Here is a 22,902-nt window from a genome sequence, read left to right on the forward strand (position 1 = left end):
CAAATCTCACATCGCTGAGTGCTAAGTGAACTTCCTGTTGCTGTGAAAGTTAGCTACAAATCTGTCATATTTGAAGTGAGTTAGAAAGCATGTGGGGAAGATTGACTACATCTCCTGAATCCACTAAAGCTGATTTGGGTGCTCGTTTTGTGATTGGATATATATAGGACATCTTTTTAACTCCCTAATATGATATAACCAAAACCAGTTCTCTGTATTCTCTGTAGAAAACAACACGACAGGCCAGTGTTGACTGAAACCCAACCACATGAACAAAAAGGGCAAAGCCCAACGCTGTTAACCCTCAATGGAGATAATTAAAGACAAAACAAGAGAAATACTGCTTTATTTCTTACTAGGCTGCTAATGAAAAAGACTCACAATTCCACAAACAGGGTGGACATCGCTTTCCAGTTTACTCTTATCTTTTGAAATGTGAGTTATTGGTTCCCAGTTTGAGATTTATTCACTGAATCAACTGTCAGTCTTTTCATTGGGGTTATTTTCATTTTGTTTCATTTTGATTTTGACCTTAACTTCTGGAAACTATAATTGGGGAATAAAAGGTAAGGGGTGTCTCCTGATAGGAATTACATATGTAACGTAAATATATAGATACATCTATCTATCTATATGTAAGGTGGCAATGCATATATGTATTTAAAAAACTAAATAAAACAAAACCAAGATTGTCTAGGCAAATCAGTGCTATGTATAGAATTTCTCTTTGGTTATTTGGGATTGTAATCTTGTCTTTATGCAATTCAGGATTACACTGAGAAAAATTAAAGAAAATGTCAAAAGCTATTATACTGGGCAGGGGTAGGGCATGAGTTTAAAGATATTTGAGTATTTTCAATATATCCAAATCATATGTATGCATTTGTTTCTGCCCAATTTGTGAAATATATGGTTTATCATGTCTATCTAAATACTTGCTGAGGAAGGTAAGTTAACTAGTATTTACTGAGCAACTGTATAGGTAGGATTTTGTCTCAATTTCCAAGCAGTGGTTCTTGGCTGTGGCCCTGAGCTCTCTCAAGAACATGGTGCCTGGTATTCCTGCGTGCACACTGAGCATTGTCTAGGACAGAGCACCAAATATTTTATGGAATATCCATGTGACTCACGTATGATTATTCATAAATTACACATTAACTACCACAATAGAAGTTAATTCATTGTACAATATAAACAAAAGTAAATTTAAAGAGGCAAAAAATATAATCAGAAGAGCATGCATTTTACTTCAGAGAACTAGACAAAAATTAAATGTGCCTTGTGTCAGTATGTATTTTTACTTTTTAAACATTTGTAAGTACTATTTGTGATTAATAAAATGCAACTGCTCCTAAAAACATTACTGAATTTATATGTCAATGGAAGTTCACTAATATAATGTGACATTCTGTGGAATTTTACAATGTTACGAAGATAACATAATTCATGATAGAAAACCACTATTCTAAGATTTTCATCTTCATCAAAGTAAACTTACCCATGAAGGGGCATTTTCTGAAGAAGAGCCCCCAAACCCTTGTTTGCAGTGGTGGGAAAAGGCTGGCGGTGGTAGGGGGCATCCTTGCACCATTTTGGTTTCAGTTACAGTGGAGCTGAGGTTGGATGAAGAATCACAGAAACAGGTCAAGTGTGAGGATGCACGTACCAGCCAGGCAGGGGAGCGAAGACAGAAATGGGAAACAGGAGCAAAATGAAACAGAAATAAAGAGAGGAAAATAATTTAACAGTGAGTAGACAGGCAAAGGCAACATATGTAAAATTGGAGTATTCTAAGAGGAAAACCTAAATAAATGGAACAATGAATATTTTCACATATGAATTAATAAGGCATTCCATAAAGAAGAGTCGAATCTCCACCATGCCCCAGAAAACATAGAGATAGTACAGTCACTACTGAAACAGTCTAATCGTGTTTTCAGATGGCCATGATAAAGAGGTTCTTGAGAAGACAGGCAAAAAACAACAACAACAACAACAAATCAAGATCAAATGGGAAAATATCCAACCTGGCCTCAATTTCTCCGTGGCAACATTCACTATTAGAAGAAAGTTATGGCAATGTCTACAAAGCCTTAAGGAAAGAAAGCGTGACAGAATTGTTCACGCTTCAAACTGTCATTCAAAAATAAAAGAGGAGAAAAATATATTTGTTTATATAGGCATATAATTCCCTAGAAGGATATGTAAAAAAATGAAATTCCATTTTTAAAAAATGCAAGGATTCAGGAATATCGTCCCCATAATTCCTTCTTGAATAAACTATTGAAGACAATGTCTTCCACCTGACATTGTTCCATGGAATCACTGAGATCCTTTATGAACCTGTAGGCTCAAGCCACAGCCCATATGAATTAAATTAGAAGCTCGGTGATAGCACTGAATTATCAATACTTTTTTAAACCCCAAGGTTCAGAACGAGTGCAACCAAGAGATAAGTGAAAGAAGTACACAAGAGAACTGGCAATGAGCGTTATTTAACTGTGGGACTAAGACAAGCATGGAAATCCTAAAACCAAGGAGAACCACCTAAAAAACTGTGACAAACAGTACAAGGATTTAGGAAGGCAGCTGGGTATAAGCTACTGCCCAGAAATCAATAGCCTCCATATATTCATGCAATAACCAGTTAGAAGACAGAATGGAAGAAAAGGCTTCATATCAATAGCTATAAAATATATAAAATACCAAGGAATAAGGTTGGCATGAGTGCAATTTATATAAAGAAATCTTTAAAACACTACTGAGAAACCAAAACTTTCAACAGCAGAAATGGCATACCATGTTCTTGGATAAGATGACTTAACACTATAAAAATATCAAACCTCACCAAGTTTATCTACATAATGCAGGTCCCAATAAAAATATTAATAGAATTTCTTTTGGTACCAGATAGCCTGGTTCTAAAACTTGTATGGAAAAATTAACAAGCAATAATAACCAAGAAATTTTTTCAAAAAGATTAGTAGGGGGCTGTGCATTAATCTGTTTTCATACTACTGTAAAGAACTGCCCAAGACTGGGTAATTTATAAAGGAAAGAGGTTTAATTGACTCACAGTTCAGCATAGCTGGAGAGGCCTCAGGAAACTTAAAATCATGGCAGAAGATGAAGGGGAACCAAGGCACCTTCTTCACAAGGCGGCAGGAAGGAGGAGTGCCGAGTGAAGGAGGAAGAACCCCTTATAAAACCATCAGATCTTATGAGAACTCACTCACTATCACCAGAACAGCATGCGGGGAACTGCCCTCCTGTTTCAATTACCACCACCTGGTCTCTCCTTTGACATGCGGAGATTATGGGGATTATGGAGATTACAATCCAAGATGAGATTTGGGTGGGGACACAAAGCCTAACCATATCAGTGTGGTTAGCCTGAAGGTATGAAAATATTATAAGTCTGTAATTAATAAAACTATATGGTACTAGCACATCTCATGAACAGGCAGGTCAATGGTACAAAACGGAAAATGCAGAAGTAGATCCAAATAAATGATGAACTTTTCTATACAGTAAAAGGGGCATTTCAAACCAGTGGGAAAAGATAAGTTATTATTATTATTATTATATCTTTTTTTAATGAGACAGGGTCTCGTTCCCTCACCCAGGCTAAAGTGCAGTGGTGCCATCACAGCTTACTGCAGCCTCAGATTCCTGGGCTCAAGCAATCCTCCTGCCACAGCCTCCCAAGTAGCTGGTGCTACAGGAACACACCACTACACTCGGCAAATTTTTTTTTATTTTTAGTAGAGATGATGTCTCCCTATGTTGCCCAGGCTTGTCTCAAACTCCTGGCCTCAAGCAATCCTCCTGCCCCGACCTCCCAAAGTGCTGGGATTACAGGCAAGAGCCACTGTGCCAGGCAGAAAAGGATATGTTATTAAAGAACAGTTTGGGGACAGAGAGCAAACCATGTGGAATACACTAAGTTAATGCTTCATACCTCATACCAAAATAAATTACAAGAAAGTCAAAAGCTGGCAAATGGAACCACAAAACAACAAGAAGAAATCAATTTTTACCAAAAAAACTATATATAATTTTATATATATTTATATTATATATGTTTATAATATATTTATATAATGTATATTATATATTTTTATATACATATAAATATATATATTTTAGAGACAGAGTCTTGCTCTGTTGCCTAGGCTAGAGTACAGCGGTGCGATCATTGCTCATCGCTGCCTCGCTCCTGGGCTCAAGGGGTCCAGCCACCTCAGCTTCCCAAGTAGCTGGGACTGCAGGCATGTGCCACCACGCCCAGCTAATTTTCCTTTTTTGTAGAGATGGGGTCTCACTATCTTACCCAGCCTGGTGTCAAACTCCTGGCCTCAAGCAATCCTCTCCCCTCAGCCTCCCAAAGTGTTGGTATTACAGGCGTGAGCCACCGCAAGTGGCCGAGAAGTTTAAGATAATATTGGAAAATATTTCGTGTAAGTTACAAATCCCATAAGTTACCCCAGAAAAGATGTTTAGCTTTGTCTTACATAGACATTAAAATATTTATAAAGGCAAAAGCCAATGTTAAGGTCAAAAGGCAGCAAACAGGGAAAAAATATAATATTTGCAACTTGTGTCACTAAAACTAATTTTCACAAGAGGAACTCTAAAAAGTTATTAAGAAGGCCAATGATACGCGAGAAGGCAAAAGAAATAAAATAGTTTGTTAAAAACAAAAGGAACTACACATGGCTCTAAAACAGAAAGAAGTCCAAACTTCACACATATTAGAAGTATTCATTAAAACTACTCTAGGTTACCATCTGCCCACCCCACGCCCCAGCACACTAGCAGGGATTAGGAGATGGCTTGGCAACTCACTGCGTAGTGTAGATATGGGGACATAGGGACCCCTGTGCTGATGAGAGAGTCCACAGCAGCTATCTCCACAGAGTACAGCTGGCCAGTGTAGGTTTGGGGACATAGGGACCCCCACAGTGCTGATGAGAGAGTCCACAGCAGCTATCTCTGCAGAGTACAGCTGGCCAGCATCTGTCCACTTCAAAAGGCACATGCTGTTTAACCCGGAAGTTCTACCTCTGGGAATTTATCTTGCACCTCTACTCCCATGATATGAAATTCCAAGTCATTTGCTGCAGTCTTGCTTGTAGCAGAAAAATGTGGAAACAAACAAATTTGTCTGCCATAAAGGACTGGTCAAACCTGTTGCCATCCATACAAGGAGTGCCACGAGCTCCTGTGCACCTGTGGAAGGAGCTCTGAGCTAGATTGTTTAGCAAGAAAAGCTTCAACACACAAGTTCAGTGAAAAAAGCAAGGGCAGAACAGCGCACGGTGCTACATGTCTGTGGCAGAAAAAGGGAGAAAAGCATGCGTTTTTGAGTTTATATATTCCATCACCTTCAATATACAGCGTCGGGACACCTGACCACCTGCAGGACCCACTGTCATCCTGGGAGAGGGAGGAGGAAGCTCTCGGATCTCCTCTTGTGAAAGAGGCGAGATTATTGCTCAGCCTGGCTCCAGAGGCACGCAGTCCCTGTGCCCCGAGAAACTAACATGCCATCTCTGCTCTCCCACCGCTTCCTGGGTTGGGCTGCGGGGAGAGGCCTTGCTACAGTGGGTGCCTCATCAGCACTGTGAACAAACAGGGAAGGATATCTGGGGCCACGCAGGGAGACCCTGGGGGATCCTGGGCAGAAGCCCCTGAAGTGATTGAGCTGTTTCCTGGGCCCTCTGATGATTCTCCCTCTGCCTTGGAGGCTTGGCTTCCCCTGGCTGCTGCTAATTCTGGAGGACACAGTGGGGTGGGCCACATAATGGAGGCTGGACTGTGTGTCCAGTCCACCCAGATGCCACCATGCCTGCCAGTCCCTCTCCTCCTTAGAGCACAAGCCCTCTGATGCTCCCAGACAGTGGAAACTTTTTGTTCCCCAAAGCCCTCCAGCTGGCCGGGCTGCCCTCCCCAGACTCCCTCCTTCCTTCCAGATGTGAGCAAATCCCTTTCCTTCCACCTCGCTCTCGGCCCCTGGTTCACCTTCTGTTCCTGCCCAGGGCAAACTGCCCTATGTGCATCTCTGTCCTCATCCATGAAACCATCCTTGTCCTCACTGTCGATGGAATTTTTCAGTGATACCTAACATCTGTCCCAGAGCCATGCACGTTCCGAAAGCACATTCCAGGGGGACAGTTGTGTCCCTGGTGCAACACGGGAGTGGGCACACATTCTCTGTGCTGTGCATGGGGACAGCTCCAGGAAGAGAGAGGGCACTGTTTTCCTGTTTCCTGAGTCAATCCGCTGTAGTTCTGTGGCCCAGCTGAGTGGCATAGGCTCTCCTGACCCAGGTACCTATCAGCCCCCAAAATAGGTGTTGCCATGATTCCTTTGGACAAAATGTAAAATCTGGCTGAAGACTGAGTCCTCGTGCACCTAGCGTGACCCATGACAGCATGCAGGTGTTGGTCTGTAGGGATGCCATAACAAAGTGCCACAAACTGGGTGACTTAAAATAACAGAACTGTATTCTCTCACAGTTCCGGAGACCGGAAGTCCAAAGTCGAGGTATTGGGCCAGGTGGGTTCCTTCTGGAGGCTCTGAGGGGAAGGTGTTCCAGGCGTCTCTCCAGCTTCTGGTGCTGCTGGCAGCCCTCGGCCCTCTGGCTTGTAGACACATCACACCAGGCTCTGCCTCCGTCTCCACGTGGCCCCCTCCCTGGGTATTTGTGTCTCTGTGTGCAAATTTCTGTTTCCTTATAAGAAAGTCATTGAATGAGGGCCCACCCTAATCTAGTACGACCTCATCTTAACTTGATTGTACACGCAAAAAGCCTATGTCCAAATAAGGCCCCATCCACGGGTTCTGGGTGGACATGAACTTTTGGGGGATGTTACTGAACGCAGTGCAGGGTTCTTACATTCTCACCATCACGTATATGATTTTATTCTTCAGGGTGCTAAGGTGTGGTGTGTGCCATGTGCTCTTAACCCCTTAGAAAAGATAAGGACAATTTTTTTTTCAGGTCCAATGTCTGAATGTATTTTTTTTCTTTCTCTTAGGATTTGAAGATATATAACAATATGTCATAAACTGACCTGAAATCCTTGTTTGTTCCGCAGCGAAATCCATTAATAATCCCTATAACTGGGACAGTTTTATGTTCCCATTCTCGGTGTGGCTATTTATAGTGAAACCTCACTTTCCCTGTGTTGGTTAACATTAAAAACTGGAACTGCTTCTGAGGTAGGAGGCGGGACTTGACTCCAGAGGCGGGGCTTGGACACTGGGCCAGATTGAGGACTAGCTAAAACAGGCCCGGTGGGGAAAGCAGTCTTCAATCAGACACGCCCACCAGCGCTATGTCAATTTACCGTTGCCATGACGGCACCCAGGCATTACCGCTCCTTTCCACGGCAATGACCCAGTGATTACTACCTCTTCCTTGCATAAACCGCTCCTTAATCTGCATGCAATTACAAGTGAGTATAAACAGGACTGCAAAACTGCCCTGAGGTGCTGCTCTCTGCCTGCGGGGTAGCCCTGCCCTGCGGGAGCCGGCAGGGAGCTGGAACACTGACACTTCAGTAAAGCTGTTTTCTTCTACCTATGACTTGCCCTTGAATTCTTTCCTGAGCAAGGCCAAGAACCCAGATGGGCTAAGCTCCACTTTAGGGCTCGCCTGCCCTGCATCAGTTTAACTAAACTATTAGAATTTTTAGTTTAAAAGAAATGAGTAAGATTGTGAGCATTCTGTGAGATGCGGAGTGAAAGAAGGTGCTGTAGTCTGAACGTTTGTGTCTCCCCTAAATTCATGTATAGAAATCCTAACCACCAAGCTGACTGTATTAGGAGGTGGGAGCTTTTAGGAGGTGATTAGGGCATGAGAGTAAATGAGATTAGTGCCCTTATAAAACAAACCCGGGGAGTTCTTTCCCCCCCCATCCCGCCATGTGAGGACACAATGGGAAGGGGGCCCTCACCCCTTCTATGAACAAGAAAGGGGGCCCTCCCCAGACACTGAATCTGCTGGCACCTTGATCTTGGGCTTCACAGCCTCTGGAACTGGGGGAAGTTAATTTCTGTTGTTTATAAGCCACCTAGTCTATGCCCTTCTGCTACAGCAGCCTAAACAGCTCAGCCTTAATGGACGAGGCACATGGAATGACTTCCGGGCCTCTGACAGGGTGCTTGGGGAGGATGGTGTGATGTTGCGTTATCACTCACAGACACTGTGGAACTGACTGGGTTGGTGGAGCGGGGACCCGGGGAAGAGTTCAGTTCTGTTCTGGGAATGTTGCCTTGAGGCAGCTGAGCACTACCCACAGGGAAAGGTCTGGCAAAGGTTCACGTGCATTCGCCTGGGCCATAGGGGAGAGGGGAGCCGTCAGCGGTCAGGGTGGTCAAAGCCACATAGTTGCATGAGGTCTCCTAAGTAGGTCAGTGGAGCAGAGTACCCAGGGTGGAGCCCCGGGAACCTCAGAAACAAGGAAGGGGTGAGCAGAGGAAGGGTCGCCCTCAGGGCACTGGGAGGGAGGAGCAGGGTGAAGGGTGGGGGCAGAGGGGAAACAGCCATGTCCATGCTGCAGAGAGACCCAAGGGAGACCCGGGGAAGAATGTCACTTGCACCTTGCAAAAGGGAGGGTCCTGGCGGCCTCAGCCAGAGCCGTTTTAGTGAAGTCATGGGGAGAAGGACCACAGAGGCTTAGTCCTGGCTGGGGCCGCAGTGGGACTGGCAGTGGAGAGGAGGGGGCCCAAGCCAGGGAGATTGAGTTCTTGGCAAAGAGGCCGGCGGCGTTCTCCACTGCGTTTCCATCCGCAGGTGCGCCTGCCGCCTGGCCTGTCCACAGTGTGCTGGTTGCTGGTATTCAGTTCTGGATTGTACCTCTGACTGGACTGAGGTCCATCAGCAAATGACGGGGCCTCGGCGGTGTGGCAGTGTGTTCAGCTGCTGGCATGCCGCCTCGGGAACAGAAAAGTCACGTTGTTGTGTATGCGGGTAACAGCTCCAGGGAGGCGTGAAGAGAACTTCCTGGCAAGGAGTGCTGCTCCAAGACTGAATGGACTTTTTTTGAAGTGCAAGGGTCTGGCCTCTGGAAGGGTGTTTTTGCTGCCACCTTTGAACTTCTCTGTGAGTTTTTAAATTTTGAGCAAATCGCCTTTTATAATCATTCTATATGTACTTTTTCTACCCAACGGCTGCATAGTGTTCTCTTCCCACAGCTGATGTACTTAAGCCCCATCCTTCTCTGGTATAAAGAACGTTGCGATGAACATCCACTGGCAATCATCTTCCTACTCATCTTTGATTGTTGCTAGAAGGGAAATTGCTGGGTTCAAAGGATGCTGACCACTTGTTAAGACTCCTGGAGCACCCAGATTTCCATCCTTCTTAATCTCGTGTTCCATTACATTGCAGAATGTAGTGACAGCCAAGAATTTCCATTCATAAAACTCAATGTAGGGTTTTCTTTGGAAGCTAACAAATGACTTCAGGCTTGTCATCAGACCATTGCACTGTGCTGACTCTGAAGAATTTGTAAGTTCTTCACATCACTTTAAGAATACTTATAATTTTACTTATTCATGAAAGCATTTAAATAAGCTTCTTACTATTAAATAATTTCTTATTGTGAAATAAACCATTTACTTCATTAACTTATGTTTTTTAAAATCAATGAAACTAAAATTCTAAGGTTAAAGAAAAAATTCTAAGGTTAAAGTAAAATACAATAGTAATTTAGCTTAAAAAAAGAAAAAATGCTGATTTTCTTATTTACTGATGTGAATTCTCAAGATGTTTTTGTATTACTTATTGAAATAATGTTAATTTCTGAGCCTGTGATTTTGAACAAAACATGTATAATTGAAGTAATCTATAATCTGTGAAACAGGTATCTCAATTTTTCTCAAAGGTTTTAATTAGAAAGTCAGGGTTGGAATCCACTCTTCACGTAAGAATGAGATGGTTTCCAGAGATACCAACAAGCCAACACATCTTAATTTGATGCCTTTTTATTATCAGCAAAATATTTAAAATTGGGGTTTTATTCTGAGTAACTTATTTCATGCTATGAAACTGCCAAAAACAACTACAAAAATAAAATGAATTTATGTTCTTTATAAAATGTTATTAATATGAAAACCGGACACTATGTGAAAGCGATATTGTGTTTATGTAGGGAGAGTGTGTTAACATTTTTTTCAGCATGGCTGAGTTGGCTGTTTTTGAATTTGAAACTTCTGCAGTCTGGGTAGACAGTGCCACCTCCCTGCAGCAAACATGGGCATCCCTTACTGTTCTGAAGACCCTCAAGCTGCAGTCAACACTGGGGTCGTTTGTGGAAGGATTCTTTCTTGCTGTCTTGATTTGCAAGAACACCTCTGAAGGTCTTTGAATAGTAAATGCTGTTTCCATGGCAACTGCAGTCTGGCTTCAGTGATCCCTTAACCTGTGTGCCTTTGGCTCAAAGCACCCAGGAGCTCACGGCCTTCCCCAGGGGCGTCCCCCTCGGTCCTGTTCACAAGCATGGACTCTGGCATGGACGGCCCCACCCTGGCTGCACCACCGATTGTCCACATGACCTCAAGCAGGTTATTTGGCCTTTCTGTGCCTTCCTTGGAAAAATGGGTCTAATACGTGGGCTTGTTTTAAGAATTAATAAGAGAACTGGCACACAGCACTCGGCACAGTGCCTGGCACATGGAAAGCTCTTGAGTCGGGCTCCATCCCCCAAATCGAGCACCTCAGTTGTCTGTAAATGGGCGCATTGGCAGTCCTGTGCAGCAATGCAAGATATTCTTGGTTTTTGGTTTCTTTTAAATTCTTTTTAGGTTTCTTTTAAAATGATCAGCAGTCTTTGATGATTTATGAGCCTGTGATTTTGAACAAAACATGTATAACTGAAGTAATCTATAACTGTGAAACACAGGGATCCCAATTTTTCTCAAAGGTTTTAATTAGAGTCAGGGTTGGAATCCACTCTTCACCTAAGAATGAGTTGCTTCCCAGAGGTACCAACAAGCCAACATGTCTTTGGTATGTTATTCTTCTTGCTCCTCTTCTTGGGTGTGGGGATTTTCATCTCTTCCTGGAGACAGGGAGGCCCTGAGAGGTCTCGGTGGTGACGGGTTGCAGGCAAGAGGAGTGAAGCAAACCCTGCTGGTACTGCAGAAGCCACACGGAGTGAAGAGACATGTCCTTGACGTCATAGAGTGGAGTGCGCTTTCTTTCTTTTGTTCTTTCGTTCTTTCATTCTTTCTCTTTCTTTCTCTCTTTCTCTCTGTCTCTTTCTTTCTCTTTCTCTTTCTTTCTCTTTCTTTCTTTCCCTCCCTGCCTTCCTGCCTTCTTTTTTCTTTCTTTCTTTCTTTCTTCTCTTTCTCTCGCTCTGTTCCTTTCTTTTTTCCCTCCCTGCCTTCCTGCTTTCTTTCTTTCTTTCTTTCTTTCTTTCTTTTTCTTTCTTTCTTTCTTTCTTGTTAAATCCATATCACAAAGCATTTTCACAGATAGCTTGTTTCTAGTTGTTTTTTTTTTCACTTTAAGTTCTGGGATAGGTGTGAAGAACATGCAGGTTTGTTACATAGGTCTACACGTGCCACGGTGGTTTGCTGCACCTGTCAACCCATCATCTAGATTTTCAGCCCCGCATGCTTTAGGTATTTGTCCTAATGCTCTCCCTTCCCTTCCCCCTGACCTCCTGACAGGCCCTGGTAAGTGTTGTTCCCCTCCCTGTGACCATGTGCTTTCACTGTTCACCTCCCACTTATGAGTGAGAACATGTGGTGTTCTGTTCACCATTCACTCAGAGAACATGTTGGTTTTCTGTTCGTGTGTTAGTTTGCTGAGAATTGTGGCTTCCGGCTTCATCCATGTCCCTGCAAAGGACATTAACTCATTCTTTTTTATGGTTGCATAGTATTCCATGGTGTCTATGTGCCACATTTTCTTTATCCAGTCTATCATTGATGGGCATTTGGGTTGATTCCAAGTCTTTGCTATTGTAAATAGTGCTGCAGTAAACATACGTGTGCACATGTCTTTACAGTAGAATGATTTATAATCCTTTGGGTATATACCCAGTAATGGGATTGGTGGGTCAAACGGTATTTCTGGTTCTAGATCCCTGAGGAATCCCCACACTGTCTTCCACAATGGTTGAACTAATTTACACTCCCACCAACAGTGTCAAAGCATGGAGCACACGTTTGTTCATTCATTGACCGTTCCCTGTGTGTGGCTTTCATAGTATTCATTTGGGATCCTGACGTGAAATGGCCTAACCAGGGTGGAGTGGCAGTTGTGTTCCCGGCACAGGACTGGCCCAGCCCCCGAGCCCTGTAGCTTCCCTAACACCATTCACTCAGGCTCCGTCAGCCTCTCCCGGGTTCCTGGGCTTCTCTGCTTGTTTTCATGAGGTTTGCGCCTTTCTCCTATGCCAATTTACAGTACACCCTTTAGCAGCTGCAGCCACATTTGGCTTTACAACCCCTGGATGCCCTCATGTCCTGCCCAGACCCTTCTTTTGAACTCCACCTGACAACTTGACACCCCCCTTTCCCCAACACTCTTCATCACCCTGCCAGCAGCTGCTCCTCCTGCATTTCTCATCCCCCCACCTCAGAGCTGCCTGAGCCGGGGCTCCCCCGAGCTTGTTCCCCTCCCCTCCTCGGTGAAATCGTGAAGCTGGCTGAGGCCCCTCCCCTCACATAGTGACCTCGGCAGCCTCCCAGTCCATCTGCTTCCAAGATTGGCCCCACCACACCTGCATCTTCATCTTGGTGTCCTAGTGATCCTAGGACATGCCAGCCTTGGGATTGAAAACAGCAGCCTCTCTCCCCAGGACAAGGCCCCGTCACAGCTGTCCCTGTGCCTGTCATCATGGCCCCCTGAAATAAAGTCTGCCTTACCATCTTCACAAAAGGAGAAAGAAAACACAACCCTCATGCTATGGTTCCCCGCCTTACCATCCTTAATGACTCCCATAGCTTCCGGGATACATTTTAAAGCCATATGATGGCACCAGGGGCCTCTTAGCCCCCTCCTTCCTGCCTCTCTCCCATGGGGGTCTTACACTCCAGTTGTACCGAGCTACTGAAGAGCGTTTCCCATCATTTTCCATCCTTCCAGCCTCAGTTCCCCCTCCTCCAGGAAGCCCTCCCTGACTTCCTCGGCTGGGGTAGGAACATTCACACTAGCTGCTTATTATCCTCACAGCATTTTTCCTGAGGTTTAGCTTACAAGAAGTCTTTCTGTTGAATAAATGAAGAAATCAGCAACAAGGGTAATTGTTGCTGAAAGAAAATATTTATTATATTAAACGTAATACATGTTTATTATAGAAAAATAATAAGGAAAATTCAGGCAATAGTAGAAAATAAAAATTATGCCTCATACTTGACCAAGCACAATACCTGTTAACATTTTGTTTATTTTTCTCCATTCTTTTATCTGTGACTTTTTTTTAACATAGTCTCAATTATGTGTCTCTAAATAGCGCATTTTTAAAATCTCCTTTTTTTAAGGAAAGAAATAAGCGTAACTCTTGTATCAAATGCTCTGTAAAAATGTTTTAATGGCCACAAAATATGGCTTTGAGGATGCACCATCACGTCCTCACTTCCGTATTGCTGGACACTGAGGCTTTTGTGTTTGTTTACTGCGGTGAATAGCATTGCAGTGAACATCTTTAAGAGTGAGGTTTTTCTACTTCAAATTATTTCCTTAAATTAGAATATTAGAAGTGCAATTTAAACCCCAAACCTACAAACACGGTTAAGGACCTGGAGCTTTGCTTTCCTGAAAGGGTGTATCAGTTTACACTTGCATTTGTGTTGTCTGAGAGTGTCTTGTTCATCACAGGATTAAGTACTGTGATTATCTCAGCTTTGTAAATTTGACAGCTAAAAACTGGCAGCTAACTGATTCTTAGGTATCTCAAGTTCTTTTTCAAATCGTCAAAACGTGTCTTAGAGTGAGTGTTGATATTTTCTTGCTGATTTGTGGATTGCTTATTAACCTTTTTCATAGTTGTTGCAAATATTTTTTTTCAGTTTAGATTAGGAACTGAATATCTTCCTCATGTCTTTAAAGAAATATGCCTGACCAGGTGCTTGATAACCCTAAACGGAGTTTCCTGCCGGGCTTTCTCTTGTATGATGTTGAGGCCGTCACGGTTTGTTGAGCAGAGGAGTGAGTGCTAAAAGCTGGAGTTCAGCAGAACCACAGTGATGCCTCCACCCCGGGTAAATGCTTAACCACACTCCTCCCTGTAAAAATAACGGTGTCATTAAACATGGACCGGCTGTTCCATGAGCTCATTCCTAGGAAACAGTGGCTGAGTAGCAGAAGCCTGACCGGTCTCCATTTCCGCCCAAATGTGGGATGTGTGCACGTGGCATAGAGCCTCGCACGTTGCTTTTGGGAGAATCAGCTTGAGTCAACTTCTGGCAAAAGATTGGGGCCGTCTTTGGACAGATTTGAATATTAGACACCATATCATCTAATGAAAACCAGCTGGGAAGAGTCAGTTTTCCTGTGTTCTTGGGCATTTGACAAATGGTGGGAGATAGTTCTAATTTTAGAAAGGAAAACGTAATGCATATTCTCATGATGATTTGTCAACTGGATATTTTGCAGAGAGGAAAACGTCTGAAATGTCCCAAATAAAGCTATCTGCTGTCATGAGAACACAGCTGGCAGGGCAGAAAGCAGTGTCGATCAACAGGAGGTCGTCCTGCACCGGGACGTCAGTGCCCCGACACCTCGGTGTGTCCCTTGGCTGTGTGGCCTTGGGCAGGTCACTGGTCAAGCCTGAGATAATGACATTGGTCTGCTGGGGAGCAGCGGCCCTAGGCCAGATGTACTAGGAGGCCCCTTCCTGGCTGTGATTTTAAGATGGAGGGGAAAATGTTTATTTGTTCTGTGAAAGCCAGGGGTGGGGTAGGACAGAGCCAGCAACACCGACAGCCCATCATGCTGAGCCAGAGGTCTGCTGAGCTGAATTGAAGCTGTGTCAACTACAGTACGTGCCTCACCGAGCCTCAGTTTCCACATTGGTGCTGTGCAGATGATAATACAGACTTTGCAAGGCTGTTGAGACTTACCTGCACTAAGACATAGAAAGTGCCCAACACAGCGCCTGCAGGGCCAGCACTCGGTGGCAGTCTAAGGAATGTCTGTCACAGCGCTCCCAGATGGCAGGTCCTGCCTGCCTGGGCCCAGCTCTGGCTGTGTGGCTCAGGACTATGGGACCTCTGCAGGCTGCGTCCCCTGCCTGCCTCAGTTTCTGCGTCTAAGCTAGAAAGCATGATTGTTCCTCCCCGTGGGGCCGTTACGAGAAGCAAGCACATGGAAGCGTGCCAGGCATTTTCCGAACGTCTGGAACATCCTCAGCGGCAGGGTCTCCTCCTCCCTCTCCTCCTCCTCACTTAGAAATATTTTCCCTGGGAGTCCCACGGAGGTCGTGAAGATGACAGAGGCTGCTGGCACTAACAGCTGTGTGGGGCAGCCCAAGCCCCTACTTTGAAAGTTCCATTCCATCCCTCGCATTTCATCTGAAGAGCGCTATGTTCTCCCTGGGGAGAACTGGCCTGTTGCATATGAAGAGTCCAGAGATTTTGAACAAGGGAACCCCTTCAGCTTCGAATGACCATTACCGTTGATGATCCCAGAAGTTCCCTTTCCAAGCAGTGACCCATGGACTTGTGTCCCTCGTGTGATAACCTGCACTACACACATATCCTACAAGTGTCCATAGTGGTTATAAGCTGCCACAGCCATACAGATCTGAGAGCCAGAGGCCTTCAAACCAGCTAAGGCTCTGAAACACTTCAACTCCACTTAAGAAAACAAATCGGAGCACATCCGTGATCCCACAAATGCTAATTTGCTTGTCACACATCAGAAACCCAGGAAGGCACAGAATAGATGCTCTCTTACTGGCTTATAGGTTGGGTACTTTAAAGTTGGAGACGTTTAAATCAGAGATAAACCTATTGTAACAATACATTTCATGTCATGTGAGCCTTTTGTCTTCCAGCAACTAAAGGGAACTGTGGTAGGATGAGCTGGGGTCACAGGGACAAGGAAGACAGGTAAGGGGACGGAAGCCGGGGCAGCAAGGAGTGGCTCAGGAGCTCTCACCCTGCAGTGGGCAGCTCATCACCCCTGCTCCCCGTGTCTGTGTCCCTTCAGGAGAAGCTGGCCAGGGACAGGGCCACCACTCATAGACAGCTCCTCAGCCTACTCAGCACTGCTTTATGTGTCTGTGTGCACACACGTGTGCATGCCTGTGTGTGTGCAGGTGTGTGTGTGCCTGCATGTGTGTGTGCACATGTGTGTGTGTGCCTGCATGCATGTGTGTGTCTGTGTATTCCTTTTGAAACATACTAGATGCCCTCTCTAAGTAAATCACATTTAACTGCTGTAACTAACCCGTCTGGCAACATCTTTTCTTAATGCTTTTTCACTGTTCACCGGGTTGAGGGTTTCTTTTCCTTATTTCCACTTCTGCTTCTTTAACGAAATTATATGACTTGATACAGTATCATTCTTTTCAAATTCAGTGTTTCAGTAAATAGTTCTTTTCAGCAGACAATTACTTAGGCAGAAGTAGTTTAACATAGCATTTGTCTCTGAAAAAAATGTTTTTTTTCCTTTCTGTCTAGATCCTTTAAAATATATAATATTGCATCATATACAATATTGGCCTGTACCAAGCACCTGTATCCAGAAAAGTAAAAAAGCTAACTGGCTTAAACCACAGCAGAACCTGCCTTGCTGGGTCACCTTCCTTCAGTTCCTTCTCATGGTTTCTAGAATTCCTTGAGCGCACACAGCAAGCTAGCTCTACAATCACTTTAGAGAGTGAGGATCGATGCCCCAGCTTCTTGTTTTCTTAGTGGCTTTTTAAAAAATAGTAGACAGTATATAGCTATCTACTGGCAATAGGAATCTCTTAAAATCAAGGTGAGAAATGTAGTTCTTTTGCAAGAGAGTCAGAGTTTTGTGTTCAATGAAAATTTAATATTTGAAAAATAAAAGATCTTAAAACTATTAGTTTTCCATTATGATCAGATGGCTCTGTCAAAATGGAAAGAAAGCAGGGAATTTTCTGTACTCCTCAACACAAAGTTTATCTTGTTCCTGAAAAAATATTGAACCATTTTTTCAATATTTGTCCTTGCCAGGATTTCACCCTGGCACCCGCTGTTGGTGTGTTTTAAATTTGGTTTCCTTCTGATTCTTCTAAGAGAATATCTACTTTATCATATTTTGAAATAAGACTTTACAGTATCCAAATGTGGATGATATATCCTTTTAACTATGTCCCTGATATTGAAGCTCTGAACATAACCTCTCAATTTGAGTCATCTGTGTTTCCAGGTATTGCTATAGCTAAGCCACAAAATACTGAATTTTGGCGTCTTATATAGATGGTTGCAGTGTTTCCATTCTTCACGAAGCATGAGAAATTCTTTTACAATACGATGACCGTGCTCCGTCGTTTTAGGCGAAGAACAGACTTACCACACACTGTGCTTTCTCTCACTTTGTGAGACAGTGAAGGAGGGACCTTCTCTTCAGGTGAAATGAAACCCCCACACGGATTAGCCTAACTTCTTCAGCTAAGGGCTGGGCCTTCTTTTATTACAAATACCGTTGCATCTTTATACACTGTTTCAGTGAAAAAAAAATAAACATGGCAATTCCCTTTCCAAGGCTCTAAGTCACCACCAGGCGGCATAACAGACCTCTGTGTCCCTGGTCTGTAGGAGATGGGACAATGCGGGGACAGCGCTGGGAGGGCCCGCAGGCAGCAGGATGCCAGGGCCTCGCCAGGAAGCCATGGTAGGCGCCCGGGGGGAGTCTGGACGTCACCCCATTCTCAAGGTGAAGCCTCGCCAGGGTCTCGCCAAGAGAGCTGAGGGGTCAGATTCACCTTCTCCCTGCACCTCTGCACTTCCCTCTGGGTTTCCTGTCTGTACATCCAGTGCCGCGCGTGGCGTGGGGCGTGGCGTGGGGTGGTTCCTCACAGTTACCCTCGCTGGGTGTGCGGTTGTCTGACATCAGTCCTCCCCAGAAAGTGCGGCTGCCCCCGGTCGGTCGTTCTGTCTGTAGCTGGCGTGGTATCTGGCACGGCGGAGGCCCTGGGTCCGTGTTTGTGGATGGAATGAATCAATGTGTGAATGAAGGAAGTCACATTGGCAGCAGTGGCGGGGAGGGTACCGTTTGGGGACAATTCAGATCATTCTGAGGAGACATGCTGAGGCCTGCTCTAAGACAGCAGCTGTGGGAGGGCACGGAGTGGCATTAAGAGAGGAAGCTGACTCGATGACGGGCGGAGAGGTGGGCGGAGGCTGTCTCAGGAGCGCCAGCAGCTGGCAGTGAGTGGTGGGCGTTTCCTGACACTAAGGCTCTGTGCAGAGCGCGTCTACAAACACTGTCTATTGTCTCGTTTCATCCTCACAACAACCACCCCTATGAAGTTGTCACTATTATTGTCTCTCCTTTACACATGAGTCTGGGCACAGGGACTTCAAGTGAAGCCTGCTAGGAGGCACTGCTGCTGCCCCCGCGGGAAGGAAATGCAGGGAAGGGACTCAGGGGGCAGCAGGAATTCTGCTTTGGATCTGTCACATTTGAGGTGCCTTTGGGGCTTCCAGGAAGAGGTGTCCAGACGGCAGGGGCTGAGGCTTGGAGGAGTCAGGATTGGAAATATGAACTGGGTGCCCATCAACATCTAGGTCGTGGTCAAAGTGGGTGGTGGGGTATTACAGGAAAGAGCTCTGCAGCCCCCCAGAATCCTAGCCTGCGCCCGCAGATGAGCAGGGGCAAGGACGCAAGGGCAGTTGTGCATTTTCCTTCTTTTCTGTGGCATTCAGAAATAGGCAAAATGTGATACACTGCAAAAGTGACTGTTTGCTATCTGCAGGAGTGGCCATCAGTGTTAGTTAAATGAGAGCTGTGCAGAATGGCATGTGTTTGTCCTCTTATTATTTTTGCTTTAAAAACCTGTTTTAAAACCCTGGTATCAATGGTCAATTATGTGACTTTCAAAAGCAAAAATTAAGGAAGACAAAAGAACTGCATTTGACACCTTGAAAGGCCCAGAGGGATTCTTAACCTTGGGTCCAAGAATTCCCCCAGGGGCCTTTGGATAGATTTCCAGAGATCCCCGAAACTGAATAGGAATAAAAGGGTAGCATTACCTTCCATTATGAATGCGGGCAAAAACCTTCGGTAGTATTAGAAGTGTGACCTCAGCACCAATAGAAACCACAGGTATTTCTCCGTCACTTTCGGGTTGTTGCTGAGAGCTGGGGAAATGGTTTCATGCATCACTGTCAGTATTTGGTGGAATAAGGACGTGCACGCACGTGCTGGCTGTTGAACTGTTGCCTCTCCACTGCAAACCCTCCCTTCCTTGCTGCAGGGCCAGAGCTGTGCCCTATCGGGCCCTGCCCCCAGAGAGAGCCTGGGCAGTGGGAGGAGGGAGCCCGGAGCACGCTGCTTCCTGCCTGCTTCCTGTTTCTGTGAGCGTCACCCCAGCAACGGGATTTCACCCTGGCTGCAGTTGTTGGTTCTGTTTCTAGTGTTTTTCACACGCCCAGACACCACCCTCACCAGTCCCTCCTGAGCCCCCGCTCTGAGGTCCGGGTCCCCACTCCAAGCCTTCTGGGACCATCACCCCGGTCTTTGTCTCCAGCCCTAGCTGTTCCTGAGATGACGCCTCTGTGGTATGAGGCCTCCTTTGCTTTTTCGGCCAAGCAACACCTGTTTAGGGGCTGCCTGTATTGCTTCTATTGAAATCACTGCTGTAATTTCTTTTTCTCCTGACTTGGCTCTGATTGATACACTATATCAGGATTTAAAAATATTTTTTGACAATGTGTTTCAGAATAATCAGTTTCCTTCGTAACCCTATGTTTCGTTACATGCGTTTAAAAATATTATTCCAAGAATGCTCCACAGGCTTCACCAGCCTGCCAGGGGGATCCACTATACCAAAAAACAGAGAGCTGAGAGCAGTTGCCAGCCTGATTAATTGCCGTTTCCTGGGCTGGGTTTAAATGCCTCTAGGAACACAAAACATAAAGGGTTTTCTTTCTGTTCTTCCTCCCTTTCTTTTCGAATGAAGTTATGGAAGGAAATGAACTTTGTTATTTTCCCCCTTTAAAAGTAGTACCTGCTCATGGAAGAAAAAAGAACACTGGAAAAGAAAAGTAAAGAAAAAAATATCTCTATCTTCCTTGTGACATAAAAACACCCATGGCTCCATTTTGATGTATTTCCTTAGGGCCTTAGGTGTTGTTTATTTTTGCAGAGATATAATTGTCATAATCTTTGTCATAAGCATTTCCAATTCTACTTCATACTTGTCTTAAACACTATTTTTATAGCTGGACAGGATGCTGTAAAGCAGTAGGTTGACCTGGCCCTTTTCTTATAATGTAAAACTTTGACCATAATTTTATTGTGATAAAATATTTCTAAGATTTACCATTTTAACCATTTTTAGGTGTAAAGTTCAGTGGTTTTAAGTGCGCTAGTGTGTAGCCATCACCATCATCCACTTCCAAAACTTTTTCATCTTCCCAAACTGAAATTCTGTACACATTAAACACTGACTCCCCAAATTCACAGAGCTGAAGGTGGAGTGGGCATTGCTTTCCCCAGCCCTTGGCAACTCCCATGCAACTTTCTGTCTCCATGAATTTGATTAACGTAAATTTTTACTACTGAGCTTCGCTTTTCCAATAAAAGTTCAAGGTACATAGTTTAAATGTACATACTTTAATGCAAGCAGTATTGCATGACACCAGCCTGCCTTCTTTCGTCCTTTTTAAAAAATTAGACCAGAAACTGTTGTTGAATCCCATGTTGCCGGTCCTGATGGTTATCTTTCTAGTGAGACCCGAAAATTCACGTGGGGACATGACAGCTTTCCATTTTCATGAATTGCAAATGTGGAGGGCTCATGGTAGGGAGATGGTTTTATTTTTGTGGGTTTTGTTTCGTTTTGTTTTTTGAGACAGAGACTCGCTCTGTCACACAGGCTGGAGTTCAGTGACACGATCTCGGCTCATTGCAACCTCCGCCTCTCCGGTTCAAGGGATTCCCGTGCCTCAGCCTCCTGAGTAGCTGGAATTATAGATGGGCAACATACCTGGCTAATTTTTGTATTTTTAGTAGAGATTGGGTTTCACCCTGTTGGCCAGGCTGGTCTCAAACTCCTGGCCTCAAGTGATCTGCCCATCTCAGCCTCCCAAAGTGCTGGGATTACAGGCGTGAGCCACAGTGCCCGGCCCAGGAGATGGTTTTAAAACAGAGATGTGCCCTGGTTGCCTTCTCTGAAAGTTTCTCTCCACACAGATCTCCTGACCTTTGGTGTGGCTGATTTCACGTGGAGTCTGTTGGATTCGCACCATCTGGCTCCTGTTTTCTGGGGAAACTCTGCGCTGGCTTTCGTCTTCCTCCTTTTGTGATTACATAAACAAAAGGGTAAATTGTTTTCTTAAACGTTAGTTTTAAATTGTGCTAAAATACACATAACAAAGTTTGCCATCTTAACTATTTTTAAGTGTACATTTCAGTGACATCAAGTATACTCACCCTCTTGTGCAGCCAGCACCACCAGCCATCCCCAGAACTTCTTCATCTTGCAGAACTGAAACTCTGCCCCCATTAAACGCTGACTCCCCATTCTCTTCTCCATCCAGCCCTGGCACCCATCATTCTACTTTGTCTTGATGAATAGTATGAGGTACCTCATCTAGTTGGAATCATACAGCATTTGTCCTTTTGTGACTAGCTGATTTCACTTAGCATGATGTCCTCAAGGTTTTCTCACATTTTAGCAGATGACAGCATTTCCTTCCTTTTTAATTCTGAGTTAAATTCCACTATGTATCTATACTACATTGTGTTTCTCCATTCAGCCATCAGTGGACACTTGGGTTGCTTCTACCTACAAAAGACCAAATTATTTTGTCCATTTAATATAAGTTATTTGAAGGCCAGGCACAGTAGCTCATATCTATAACCCTAGCACTTTGAGAGGTCAAGGCAGGAGGATCGCTTAAGGCCAGGGGTTTGAGACCAGCCTAGGCAACATAGCAAGAATCCAATCTCTACCCAAAAAACTAAAAACTACATAATTAATAAAATGTGAATTATTTGAAGTTTCAGTGCAGATCCCTTCTTATCACTGTATTATCTGATATTATCGAGCCACCATGAAACCTCTAGCACAGCCTACCTGTGGTACCGGGAGGCCACCCTCCCAGCCACATCGGGGTCTGCCTGATTTCTGCTTTCCTCACTGCCTGGGTCCCTCTGCCTTCCCCCAGAGACGAAGATGCTGCAAGTTAGACTTGGAGCTCTAATATTGTATTCTAAATGTAGGGCATATATTTTAAATAATCGTAGAGTGTTAGAGCTAAAAAGGTTTAATATGCTTTATATTAAAAACATATTTATCTTGTTAATACTCTGAGTCCATTGCGTCACCTCGGGCGGACCATTTCCCCTTTTTCTAAAACCTACACCATGGGAGGGTCTCTTTGCCAAAAAGGAGAAGTTCATGAGCTTCCATTGCCTAATATCATTCTTTGGAGGCACAGTCATAGCTCCTTATCTGGCTCTCGAAGTTCAAGTCCAGCTGTCTAGATCATAACTTTCAACTAGGAAATCACCGGGTGCCTTAAAAAAATAACCAGCGCAAAGTTCAGGCCTCTTGTTCTAGAAAAGTAGTAAGGTTACTCCTACTAGAGCCACGGGATGTAGAATTCCAGTTACTGTTGGGGTTGTGTGTGTTTTAACAGGCACACCTCTTTCCCTGCAGCAGGGGGTACACAGCAGGCTGTGCAGAGTAGGGCAAGGTAGAAGCCCTGGGGTATGCAGGAAGGTGGGTGGGGAGG

At 44.6% G+C, this 22,902-nt stretch overlaps 1 protein-coding gene across 29 annotated transcripts in view, besides 6 other annotated features; it reads left to right on the forward strand.

Annotated features, from left to right (window-relative positions):
- The window catches only part of LRRFIP1 (LRR binding FLII interacting protein 1), a 154,057-nt gene that overhangs the window by 27,926 nt on the left and 103,229 nt on the right, over positions 1 to 22,902 (forward strand). The gene's annotated exons all lie outside the window — the stretch shown is intronic.
- Positions 7,171 to 7,712: an enhancer, noted in NCBI's record as "NANOG hESC enhancer chr2:238571326-238571867 (GRCh37/hg19 assembly coordinates)". NCBI's record gives its function as "activates a minimal SCP1, AML or CMV promoter by ChIP-STARR-seq in naive H9 embryonic stem cells {active_cell/tissue: H9 hESC(naive)}" and the evidence as "EXISTENCE:reporter gene assay evidence [ECO:0000049][PMID:30033119]".
- Positions 8,699 to 9,267: an enhancer, noted in NCBI's record as "H3K4me1 hESC enhancer chr2:238572854-238573422 (GRCh37/hg19 assembly coordinates)". NCBI's record gives its function as "activates a minimal SCP1, AML or CMV promoter by ChIP-STARR-seq in primed H9 embryonic stem cells {active_cell/tissue: H9 hESC(primed)}" and the evidence as "EXISTENCE:reporter gene assay evidence [ECO:0000049][PMID:30033119]".
- Positions 17,568 to 18,193: an enhancer, noted in NCBI's record as "H3K4me1 hESC enhancer chr2:238581723-238582348 (GRCh37/hg19 assembly coordinates)". NCBI's record gives its function as "activates a minimal SCP1, AML or CMV promoter by ChIP-STARR-seq in naive H9 embryonic stem cells {active_cell/tissue: H9 hESC(naive)}" and the evidence as "EXISTENCE:reporter gene assay evidence [ECO:0000049][PMID:30033119]".
- Positions 19,314 to 19,608: an enhancer, noted in NCBI's record as "tiled region #636; HepG2 Activating DNase unmatched - State 1:Tss, and K562 Activating non-DNase unmatched - State 4:PromP". NCBI's record gives its function as "activates a minimal TATA promoter and a strong SV40 promoter by Sharpr-MPRA in HepG2 and K562 cells {active_cell/tissue: HepG2 | K562}" and the evidence as "EXISTENCE:reporter gene assay evidence [ECO:0000049][PMID:27701403]".
- Positions 19,562 to 20,108: an enhancer, noted in NCBI's record as "H3K27ac-H3K4me1 hESC enhancer chr2:238583717-238584263 (GRCh37/hg19 assembly coordinates)". NCBI's record gives its function as "activates a minimal SCP1, AML or CMV promoter by ChIP-STARR-seq in primed H9 embryonic stem cells {active_cell/tissue: H9 hESC(primed)}" and the evidence as "EXISTENCE:reporter gene assay evidence [ECO:0000049][PMID:30033119]".
- Positions 19,665 to 19,804: an enhancer, noted in NCBI's record as "active region_17368". NCBI's record gives its function as "activates an Ori minimal core promoter by ATAC-STARR-seq in GM12878 lymphoblastoid cells {active_cell/tissue: GM12878}" and the evidence as "EXISTENCE:reporter gene assay evidence [ECO:0000049][PMID:35858748]".

This window comes from Homo sapiens, chromosome 2, assembly GCF_000001405.40.
Source record: "Homo sapiens chromosome 2, GRCh38.p14 Primary Assembly".
Taxonomy (NCBI): Eukaryota; Metazoa; Chordata; class Mammalia; order Primates; family Hominidae; genus Homo; species Homo sapiens.